A 12,769-nucleotide genomic window follows, 5' to 3' on the forward strand; every position below is an offset into this window, starting at 1 on the left:
TAATATTGTATATTATCCAAGAAATTTCATTTAATCAGAACCTGCCAGTCTGATAGGTGAAAATGGTATCTTGTTTTTATTTGCATTTAAAAAAAATTATGATAGTGGTATGCTTGGTTTTTTTGAAGGTATCAAATTTTTTACCTTATGAAACATGAGGGCAAAGGATGTGTTACGTGGAAGATTTAAAAAAAATTTTTAATGCATTTTTTTGAGACAAGGTCTTGCTCTATTGTCCAGGCTGGAGTGCAGTGGCACAATCACAGTTCACTCCAGCCTCAACATCCTGCACTAAAGTGATTTTCCCACCTCACCTCTCAAGTAGCTGGGACTACAGGTACATGCTACCATGCCTGGCTAATTTTTTTTTTTTTGCAGGCATGGGGTCTCACTATATTGCCCAGGTTGGTGTGGAAGTTTAATGACTAAGAGGTGTTTGTTATAAAGTTTAATGTATGAAACTTTCTATTAAATTCCTGATTTTATTTCTGTAGGACTGAACGTCTTGCTCGAGATGTGATGAAGGAGATGGGAGGCCATCACATTGTAGCCCTCTGTGTGCTCAAGGGGGGCTATAAATTCTTTGCTGACCTGCTGGATTACATCAAAGCACTGAATAGAAATAGTGATAGATCCATTCCTATGACTGTAGATTTTATCAGACTGAAGAGCTATTGTGTGAGTATATTTAATATATGATTCTTTTTAGTGGCAACAGTAGGTTTTCTTATATTTTCTTTGAATCTCTGCAAACCATACTTGCTTTCATTTCACTTGGTTACAGTGAGATTTTTCTAACATATTCACTAGTACTTTACATCAAAGCCAATACTGTTTTTTTAAAACTAGTCACCTTGGAGGATATATACTTATTTTACAGGTGTGTGTGGTTTTTTAAATAAACTCCTTTTAGGAATTGCTGTTGGGACTTGGGATACTTTTTTCACTATACATACTGGTGACAGATACCCTCTCTTGAGCTACATCGGTTTGTGGGGAGTCAAAAGTCCTTTGGAGCTAGGTTTGACAAATAAGGTGGGTTAACACTTGTTTCCTAGAAAGCACATGGAGAGCTAGAGTATTGGCGAATTGAAGAAATCCCCCTTTTTTTTTAACACACTTAAGAAAGGGGACTGCAGGTATACTCAAGAGAGTAAGTCGCACCAGAAACCACTTTTGATCCACAGTCTGCCTGTGTCACACAATTGAAATGCATCACAACATTGACACTGTGGATGAAACAAAATCAGTGTGAATTTTAGTAGTGAATTTCATTCATAATTTGATCGTGCAAACGTTTGATTTTTATTACTTTAGACTATTGTTTCTGATTTTATGTTGGGTTGGTATTTCCTGTGAGTTACTGTTTTCCTTTAAAATAGGAATTTTTCATACTCTTCAAAGATTAGAACAAATGTCCAGTTTTTGCTGTTTCATGAATGAGTCCTGTCCATCTTTGTAGAAACTCGCCTTATGTTCACATTTTTATTGAGAATAAGACCACTTATCTACATTTAACTATCAACCTCATCCTCTCCATTAATCATCTATTTTAGTGACCCAAGTTTTTGACCTTTTCCATGTTTACATCAATCCTGTAGGTGATTGGGCAGCCATTTAAGTATTATTATAGACATTTTCACTATCCCATTAAAACCCTTTATGCCCATACATCATAACACTACTTCCTACCCATAAGCTCCTTTTAACTTGTTAAAGTCTTGCTTGAATTAAAGACTTGTTTAAACACAAAATTTAGACTTTTACTCAACAAAAGTGATTGATTGATTGATTGATTGATTGATGGTTTACAGTAGGACTTCATTCTAGTCATTATAGCTGCTGGCAGTATAACTGGCCAGCCTTTAATACATTGCTGCTTAGAGTCAAAGCATGTACTTAGAGTTGGTATGATTTATCTTTTTGGTCTTCTATAGCCTCCTTCCCCATCCCCATCAGTCTTAATCAGTCTTGTTACGTTATGACTAATCTTTGGGGATTTGTGCAGAATGTTATTTTAGATAAGCAAAAACGAGCAAAATAGGGGAGTTTAACTTTAATATTTTCTTTTAAAAAGCATTTCATGTTATAAGATCAATTCTGAGTGGTAGAAATGCTTTGACATTTTATTTCCATTTTCTACTTTTAGTTTTTTTCCTATTTGTTTAAGATCTTAGAGGATTATTAAGCTGAACTCCTCAACTGATAAAAAGCATGACATCTTAAACATAAGCAAAGCATATTTTTAGGTTAATTTTCACATAGAAAACAGTTTATTTTATGTGAAATTCTATGTAGATATACTATTTTTTTGGTATTTATTGATATGTTTATTTTATTTTATTTTATTTTATTTTATTTTATTTTATTTTATTTATTTATTTTTTTTTTTGAGACAGAGTCTCACTCTGTTGCCCAGGCTGGAGTGCAGTGGCATGATCGTAGCTCACTGCAACCTCCACCTCCCGGGTTCAAGCAATTCTTCTGTCTCAGCCTCCCGAGTAGCTGGGACTACAGGTGCCTGCCACTATGCCCGGCTAATTTTTGTGTTTTTAGTAGAGATGGGGTTTCACCTTGTTGGTCAGGCTGGTCTCGAACCCCTGACCTCAGGTGATCCACCCACCTCAGCCTCCCAAAGTGCTGGGATTATAGGCATGAGCCACCGTGCCCGGCCGACATGTTAATTTTTTAAAAAAGGCTTTACTGGGGTATATTTTATATAATATAATAATCACATGTTTTAACTATACAATTCCAAGCTTTTTAGTATATTTATAGGGCTATGCAAGGAAGATATACTGTTAAACAGTAGAAATTGAGAAAGCTCTTCTGATAATATCTCTTGATTTGATGATGGCTCATGCCTGTAATCTCAGTGCTTTGGAAGGCCAAGACAGCAGAATCACTTGAGGCCAGGGGTTCGAGACCAGCCTGGGCAACACAGCAATACCCTATCTTTACAAATAATAAAAATATCTGTTGATTTGAAGTAAAGTTTTTTTTTAAAGACAAGGTCTCATTCTGTCACCCAGGCTGGAATGCAGTAGCAAGATCACAGCTCACTGTGGCCTTGACCTTCTGGGCTCAAGTGATTCTCCCACTTCGGCCTCCCGAGTAGCTGGGACTAACAGGTGTGCACCACCATGGCTGGCTAATTTTTTTTTATGTTTGTAGAGATTGGGTCTTACTGTGTTGCCCAGGCTGATCCCGAACTCCTGGGCTCAAGCAGTCTTCCTGCCTCAGCCTCTAAAATTGCTGGGATTACAGGCTTGAGTCACCATGCCCAGCCTGAAGTAGCATTTCTACCCTGTTTAATAATTCAGCAGCTTGTCATGTAAGATATTCATATATGCATATAAAACATTAGGCAGCTTAATTTGGTAAAACTGTAAAATGGAAATTTTAAATTGTTTGCAGCATCAATAACATTGATGTCAGTATGATTTTTACATGCTGATCTTGACCAATTTGAAACAGTGAGTTAAAATCTGGCTGATCCGTACTAATCCTAAAGAAATATTCTATGAACTATTAAATGTTTCCAGAATATATAAAGAAACATTATGATGTCAACACACCCATCTATTTTTTTTTGGAAATAAAAACTCCATTTTTCTTATTAAAGAAAACATGCTTATTAGAAAACATACGGCTGGGTGCAGTGGCACACATGTAATTCCAGTGCTTTGGGAGATCGAGGTGGGAGAATCACTTGAGGCCAGGAGTTTGAGACCAGCCTAGACAACATAATGAGACCCCCTCTCTACACAAAAAGAATTAGTTGTGCATGGTGGCGTGCACCTGTAGTCCCAGCTACTTGGGAGGCAGAGGCAGGAGCATCCCTTGAGCCTAGGAGTTTGAGACTGCAGGAGTTCGAGACTGAGTGGAATGCAGTGGAACTGCATTCCAGCCTGAGTGACAGAGGGAGACCCTGTCTTAAAAAAATAAGAAAGAAAACACAACTGCAGAAAATTATAAAGGATTTAAGTCATTCCAAATATCACTGCCACTTTTTATTTAGAATATTCTAAAGAATTCTCTCTCTGTGTACACACACACATATGCGTACTCTTAATCCAAGTAGCTTGGTAGGATTTTATTTACCTAGTGCCTAGATGGGAAATTGCCTGGGGATTCCAAATACCTATTTCATTAAATTAAAGATGTCACTGATTTTAAGACTTAACACTATTTTTCATACTGCCAAGAAAGAAAACACTACCAGTTATAAATGTAAATTGCCATCAATTGTAATACATCAATTTTAGAGCTATTATTAATAAAATGTGAATGTGCATCTTAGAGCAATGAAATATAGTACTATATATTTGATGACCTTTTCTGCCCTGTGATATTCAGAAAGTGAAAGTTAAATATGGGCTGAGCATGGTGGCTCACACCTGTAATCCCAGTACTTTGGGAAGTCAAGACGGGAGGCTGGCTTGAACCCAGGAGTTCAAGACCAGCCTAGGCAATGTAGCGAGACGCCATCTCAAAATATTAAAAATAAGTAAATAAGTAAATAAAAAGAAGGTTAAGTATACAAATGTATTTCCTTTGTTGTGAATTTATTTCAATTTTATAGTGATTTTTTTTTTTTGAGACGAAGTCTCACTCTTGTCCCCCAGGCTGGAGTGCGATGGCGTGATCTCAGCTCACTGCAACCTCTGCCTCCCAGGTTCAAGCTATACTCCTGCCTTGGCCCCCCGAGTAGCTGGGATTACAGGCGCCTGCTACCATGCCTGGCTAATTTTTGTATTTTTAGTTGAGATGGGGTTTCACCATGTTGGCCAGGCTGGTCTAGAACTCTTGACCTCTGGTGATCCACCCGCCTCGGACTCCCAAAATGCTGGGATTACAGGCGTGAGCCACCGTGCCTGGCCAGTGGTTTTTTGTTGTTGTTGTTGTTGTTGTTTTGTTTTTGTTTTTGTTTTTGTTTTGAGACAGGATCTTGCTCTGTCACCCAGGCTGGAGTGCAGTGGTGCCATCTTGGTTCACTGCAACCTCTGCGTGGGCTCAAGCAATCCTCCCACCTCCCTTTCCAGAGTAGCGGGGACCACAGGTGTGTGCCACCACACCTGACTAATTTTTGCATTTTTTTTTGTAGAAACAGGGTTTTGCCATGTTGCCCAGGTTGGTCTGAAACTCCTGAGCTCAAACAATCCAACTGCCTTGGCTTCCCTAAGTGAAATTACAGGCATGGGCCACTGTACCCAGTCTAGTGATTTTTTTATTTTTATTTTTATTTTATTTTATTTTATTTTTTTACCAAAAAAACAACAAAGCCTCAGGAGGAAAAGTTGATACACAAGTAAATTTTATTGGAAATGTTTTTGTGTGGACCTTAAGCAGAGGGAAAATTAGTCTGCATTATGGTGTATCCAGACTAAATGACTGATATTAAAATGAAATTATTCTTAGGATTTGCAATCTTAGAGAAAACTTTTTCATTTTTATTTTTTTGAGTTACAAATTATCTTCATTTACATTTGAGAACAGTGAGTCACAGAGGGATTAAGTAACTTACTCAAGATCATACAAGTCTTTGATTTGAACCCAATCTTTTAACTCTGCAGAACTCAGAGTCACTCTTATTTGGAAAAACTTTTTAACTGATGTGGATCCTCTAATATGGGCTTCCTATTATTCATTCTCTATTAGTCAGAAGTTTTGCAAGCAGACAGAATTCATTTTGCCAATTACGGGATTTTCCCTCAGTTGCAGTCAAGGTTCATAAAACTATAACTCTTTATCTTTAATTAGAAATGTTTTTTTTTTTGAGACAAGGTCTTGCTCTGTTGCCCAGACTGGAATGCAGTGGCATAGTGGCCCATTGCAGCTTTGAACTCCTGGGCTCAAGGGATCCTCTGCCTCAGCCTCCCAAGTATCTGAGACTACAAGTGCGTGCCATCACCCATGGCTATTTTAAAAAAAAAAAAAATTGTAGAGATAGGGTCTTGCTGTGTTGCCCAGGCTGGTCTCAAACTCCTGGTCTCAAGCAATCCTTCTGCCTTGGTCTCCCAAAGTGCTGAGATTACAGGTGTCAGCCGTTGCACCTGGCCAAAACGATAACTTAAAATACACACACACACACACACACACAAACACATATGTGTATTTGTGTGTGTGTGTGTGTGTGTGTGTCTCAAAAGGTATCAAAAGAGAATAGCTATAACTTTAGTGTTGATCTTGATAGTGACTTGATTAGGCTCTGTTTAACATCAAAGATGCAAATTAATACTTTCTTTGAACATATTAAAAATGCAGAAAATATTGGAGTATTTTATTTTAAATAAATTGTATTCTGTATATTTAAGGTATACAACATGATGTTATGGGATACATATAGGTGGTTAAAAGATTACTGCAGTGAAGCAAATTAACGTATCCCTCAACTCACATAGTTACCCATTTTTTTTTTGTTTTGGTGGCAAGAGGAGCTTAAAATCTCATTTAGTGTGAATCCCAAATACAGCACAATTTTATTACCTATATACTTCATGTTGTACATTATATTTCTAGACTTGTTCATCCTACATATCTGCTACTTTGTATCCTCTGAGCTACATCTCCCCATTTTCTCACTTGCCCCCCAAGTAGTTTCTTAAAGTGTCTCATGTAAGAGGGCAGTAGCTTTCAGCTTAAACTTTTTCTCTGTATGTAGTCGATTTCTTTGAGGTATACTTTTCTCTCCAGAATAGTTAGATGTAGGTATACCACTTTGATGTTGACACTAGTTTACCTAGAACTTATCTTCTGTAAATCTGTCTCTATTTCCATCTCTGTCTCCATCTTTGTCTCTATCTCTATCTGTCTATCTCTATCTATCTATCTATCTATCTATCTATCTATCTATCTATCTATCTATCTATCTAAAGCAAATTCATGCCCTTCTCCTATTTATTGAATCGAGACCATAGACAGGGGTGAGAGAAAGAATTTGGCAGGAATGGGGATGTGTATTATCTGTGGCATAAGGAAACTTTACAGAACTAGGTTCAAAAGTATACTTTCTAGTTCTTTCCCATGGCTTTTCACTTTGATGTAGTCCTTATCAGGTAACTGAGGTTTTATATAAGTCCCCTGATTCTTAGAACATGAAGGTGTAGTAGTCAAGGTTGGTCCCTTGAAACCACAAATTTTGTGAAAAAAAATTAAGAAAATTGAATAATTTCCTCAGCAAATACATATTGATCATCTGTTATACAGCCATGAGAAGTGGTTCTGTTGCACACGTTTATTTTATCAGATCCTAATCCCAAACCAGGCATAAAATGGAAACCATGAAGATAGGATGAAATAACTTCTGAATGTTTGAATGTTTGAAAATAGTGTACTTAAAAATACCAGGTGGTTTTTGTTTGTTTTTTGTTTTTTTCTTTTTTTGAGACAGGGTCTCACTCTGTCACCCAGGCTGGAGTGTAGTGGTGCAATCTCATCTCATTGCAGTCTTGACCTCCCAGGCTCAGGTTATCTCCCACCTCAGCCTCCCAAGTAGCTGGGACTACAGGCACATGCCACCACGCCCAGCTAATTTTTTGTATTTTTTGTAGAGACGGGGTTTCACCCTGTTGCCCAGGCTGGTCTAGAACTCCTGGGCTTAAGCGATCCTCCCACCTCAGCCTCCCAAAGTGCTAGGATTACAGGCATGAGCCACCATGCCTGGCAGAAAATACCAGGTTTTTAAGTATCAGCACTTACTCTTCAATCTTTTCTATTACTATGTTGTGCTAAATGGTATTTTTTATTTAATTAGAGCAATGCTGTTCAATAGAACTTTCTTTGAGGATGGAAATCTTTTATGTTTCTGCTATGTGGTACAGAGCCACTAGTGACATGTGGCTTTTGAGCGCTTGACACATCTTGTGCAACACAGGAACTGAATTTTTAAGTAATTTATATTGCCACATGTGGCTACCGTATGGGACAGTGTAGTACTAGATGATCTGTAAGGGCTGTGCTTCATCAGTGTCGTTTTTTAACTGACAAAAACCTTTAGTTTTTTTTTTAGTAATGTGTTTATTTAAAAGAATTCATAAAATACAAGTAAACAAATTAACTTGTTACCTGAGCATATGTCCTTTCATACTTATTTTTTCTGCATACATATTTTGGAAAATGGAATATCTGCCCTTTTTTTTTATCTGAGATACAGTCTACCTCTAAAAATACATGATTCTAACATTCTCACTTTTGTTGGCATTTGATCAGGGTATAGAAAAACAGTTAAAAGGACAGAGAATGGTTGAGAGATTATGATATGAAGAGAAAATGTGATTGAGTGTGGTAGACTTGGGGCCTGCTTGAATGTTGAGAGAATGACTGTTTTCCGATAAAAAAAAAAAGTCCATTCTAGGATCCTAAAAGAAGGGTCTGAAGTTCACTGCAGAAAGCAAGCTACATAGTACTAAGCCACTAAGGGGACATGGAGCCCTTAGTAATTCCTACCTTAGTAATAGTCTCATCATGCCCTCTTGGGAACCCAGCCTTGTTGATTAGCCTCTCTGCTTTCTCTCCTTATAGTTCAACCTCCCTGTTTGTTCCAAGCAGTTCTTTTCCTGCCCATTTATTATGCATTTCTATACAGCTTTCCTCCTCTTTTTCTATACCATGCTGCAGTTCTTATTGCTACCTAGAGGTTTTCAAAATTCCTAGGGGCGGATAAGTAGGCATAAACAAAGTTCTTCCCTATTATCCTTCCTATTTTTTCACCTAGACTGAAGAGGTAGACAAAATAGAAATAAAGACATTAAGGGTATGTGTTTGTAGTCCCAAAGAGCTTCTCTGGCAATTTTATGTAGTTGACAGTGACGCTCTGAGTTCAGGACAGATTGGACTCCTTGGCTGAGAGGAGTGAGGAGATAGGACGGTAGAGGAGAGGGTAGAGCAACTCTGGAGGAAGCTTTCCCCTCACCTTTGCCAGTCCTGTTATCCTAGACTTAACCATAATTAAAGATGAGGGAGGCACTCAGTAAAGGGATCTAGTGGGAAGCTTGTTCCAGACAGCCAAGGAGGGAGGTTCGCGCAGTTCCTTTGGCCACCCAGGTGGGGTAATTGATCCATGTATGCCATTCATGTACAATGTAGGCACTTATACCTGTATTCCAATGTAGTGAACTATACCATTACTCTTAAATTAATATTCTTTATTAGCTTCCATGGTGGCTATAGGCCAGGCAAGAGAGTTAAGAAAAAATAAATAGCCAGGTATGGTGACTCAAGCCTGTAATCTCGGCACTTTAGGAGGCCGAGGCAGGAGGATCGCTTGAGTCCAGGAGTTCAAGACCAGCCTGAGCAAAATAGTGAGATCCTGTCTCTATTTTTTAAAAAAGCCTTGGGGCAAACAGGAGTATGGAGGTTTGGATGCTAATAGAACAGCAGTGTCTTACTGCTTGGAGTTCTCTTGTTTCTTGTCCTATCACCGTAGCCTTTGGATCACAGCAATTTTTCCATGACTCCATACTTTTCAGTTCTTGAATATTTTTTCCTTTATTCCTCTTGTCTCTGTAAAGACATCAACTGGAGTTGGACTGTAATACCAGGTATCTCCAGAAGATGGCACTATTTAACAGATTTTATAAATAATTTGATGTGAGTCACTGTCATCTGAAGCTTGTTGCCTTTTCTTTCTTTCTTCTTTCTTTTTTTTCCCCATCAATTCTGTATGTTTGAAATGCTGGGTTTTAAGTTAGTTAGAATAAGGGATGTCTGTAATTTCCCTAAATTGAGAAGTAATATGCAAAGGTTGATATCAGAAGTCATATGCTCACCTTGCAACACCAAATAATACTGGCCCATTTGTGATTTTTGAAAGTAACACTCCATAATAAATGGATGTATATATAGAAGCATAACAAAAATAGAAGCACATAAAAGTGAAAAGTCTCATAAACGCCATTGTCACTACTCATGTAATTGCTGTTACAAATTTGTTTAAATGTTGAATAAAAATGGTGTCATAGGCAACACAGTGTTCCACTACTTGGTGTTTTTAATAGCATTATTCTGTCTCAGTGTGCTTTGGATTATCAGGTGCTTTTTAATAGTTGCATGGTATTACATTGTGTAGATGAACTTGATTAATTTAAATGGTTCCCTGTTAATGGACATGTTGGTTTGTTTTTGTGAACAACTGATACAGTGAACATTTATTTTTTAAATAAAAAAAAGAGAGACAGGGTCTTGCTGTGTTTCTCGGGCTGGCCTTGAACTCCTGGGGTCAAGCGATCGTCTTGCCTCTGCCTCCCTGGGATTACAGGCATGAAGCCACCGCACCCGGCCCAGTGAACACTCTTGAATGTATCTTTGTATACTTGTCAGTGTTTTTGTAGCATTGATTCCCAGAAGTGGGATTACTGGATTAAGTGACATGCATGTTTGCAATTTTAACAGGTATTGCTATGTCATTTTCAAAAGAAGCTATGCCAATTAATACTCTCACCAACAAGAGTGCTTATTTCCCCTCAGCATATTATCAGGCTTAAGTTTTGCCAGTATGGGTGGGAGAACAGTAGAATCACATTGTTTTAGTGTTTGTTTCTCAGATAGATATAATTTTACACCTTATAACCTTCTCTTCTATAAATTGTCTATTTGTGTTCATTCTCCATTTTCCTATGGGTTCTTATTGTTGGAGCCCAATATATAAAAGGGGGTATTTGTTACAGAACCTCTTCAGTTTTGGTTCATGTCATGCCTGGGTTTTTACCCTTTCTACGGATGTTAAAAAAAATTCTCTATTTTCTTCCAGTCCACTTATGGCTTTATTTTTTACATTTAGATTTTAATCCGTCTGGAATTTATTTTTGTGTATGCTGTGAGGTAGGGACCATACTTTTATTTTTTCCCAAATGGGTTACTAGTTGGCCAAACATCATTTATTGAATAATTCATCTTTTCCCTACTGACTCGAAATACCATCTTTATTGTATACTAAATCCTCATATAGTTCTGGGTCTGTTTCTGGGCTCTACTTTGTTCATTTACTGTGCTGGTACTGCACCGTTGTAATTGCTGTGGCTTTGTGGTATGGTATGGCTTGCTCTCTGCTAGGGCAAGTCGAAGCTCTTTTGTTCACCTGCTCTTTCACCCAAATTTTCTGTCCTGAATCCAGCACAGCCAAATTATGGTCATTGTCACCACCAACTACAGTGGGTGTTGAGCATTTCCCATTGAATCTCCTGTAAGGGTTTTATTGGATTCTGTGATAGCAGTAAAATGGGAGCCTAAGAGGTATTCCTTAAAGGACTACTAATCAGACCTGGTTTCCCAGATGATGCTGAAGATGACGGGGCCTGGGCTAGACTTTTGAGGGACATATCCTTGGGGTTGGGTGTGATATAGACCAGCCCTTACAATTTGCTTGACTCATGGGAATCGTACAGGGCCAGAACCAGACACCTGTCATGCTAATAACTTCCCTCACAATTCAGAAATCACTGTGATTGAAGATGGGTGGCTGTTATAATACTACCCACTTAAAAATGGATGTAACCCATTTTTTAGGACTCTTAAAAACATCAAATCAGTAATGGCCGATTAGGACTTTTTAATTTTTACTAATCTCTACTTGAAAGTTTTCTAGTCATTCATTTCAGGAAACCTAATTCTTATAATTCATATCATTTAGAATATCATAATGCTATGGATATTAGCTAGCTAACTTCTCAAATCTTCTAGTTCTCATTTAATTTGAAGTTTGTGTGTGTACATAAGGATATACATATACATATGTGTGTGTAGATATATATATATATAGTTTTTTTTTTTTTTAACTAGAATGACCAGTCAACAGGGGACATAAAAGTAATTGGTGGAGATGATCTCTCAACTTTAACTGGAAAGGTATGTATCTTGAAAGGGAAGAAAAAAAAGCACTTCATACCGAGTCAATTAGTAACAGTGTGCTTTCAATCAATCACTAAGAGATAATTTACATAGTATAACTAAATGGGTTATTTAACCCTTGGAAGCAGTCTAGGTTAATTATCGTTCCCTAGGTCATGTAGTAAAAAGACAGTAGAATCCAACATTAACCTTAAATGTCCATATTGTCAAGTACTGCTGTCTGCCTCTGTGGGACTCTAATTTGGGATCCTTCAAAAAACATTGATGGGGGAAAAGATAGCCTTTAAAAAAAAAAAAAAAACAAACCTATGTGAGTCTATGTGAGGTAGACTCACATAGTTTCCTAAAAGATAGCAAAGCAGTATTATGTAGTGGCTGAAAGTGTGAGTTCCGGAGCCTGACAACTGATTCAAAGCATGGCTTAGTACTTCCTAACTCTGACCTTGGGCAAGTTACTTAACCTCTCTGTGTCCCATATGTGATTAGGGTGAGGTTGATAATAGCAGCCATAGAGTTAAGAGGATTAAGTGCTATAATGCAAGTAGAGCTCTTACAACAGTTTCTGGTAAATCACTCAATAAATTCAGACATACTATTATTTTAAGAAATCTCAAAGAGTTTTCTTGTACCTTAAAATTCTCCTAGTGTGAACCATTGGTTTTGGTATATTGTGCTTCCATGTAGTTTAATATCAAGATGTTTTTAGATTTCCCTTTTAATTTATTTGTTGACCCATTGGTTGTTCAGGAGCATGCTGTTTACCTGAAAATAATGGAGATATTAAGGTATTTGAATATTTATCTTCTAGTACATTGAAAAACTTTTTGAGAGTAACCAATAATAAATGATGGAATGCTACTGCTTTTTTTTTTTGAAGCTGCCAGTTATTGTTTACTTACACTATGCCAAATATAAAGGCATT

At 37.5% G+C, this 12,769-nt stretch overlaps 1 protein-coding gene across 1 annotated transcript in view; it reads left to right on the forward strand.

The window, feature by feature from the left end:
* The window catches only part of HPRT1 (hypoxanthine phosphoribosyltransferase 1), a 40,504-nt gene that overhangs the window by 14,522 nt on the left and 13,213 nt on the right, over positions 1–12,769 (forward strand). Inside the window, exons 3-4 of the mRNA NM_000194.3 lie at positions 495–678; positions 11,779–11,844. Coding sequence (NP_000185.1) covers positions 495–678; positions 11,779–11,844 — 250 coding nt within the window. The remainder of the gene's footprint in view (positions 1–494; positions 679–11,778; positions 11,845–12,769) is intronic.

The sequence above is a fragment of the Homo sapiens genome, chromosome X, assembly GCF_000001405.40.
Source record: "Homo sapiens chromosome X, GRCh38.p14 Primary Assembly".
In the NCBI taxonomy this organism is placed as follows: Eukaryota; Metazoa; Chordata; class Mammalia; order Primates; family Hominidae; genus Homo; species Homo sapiens.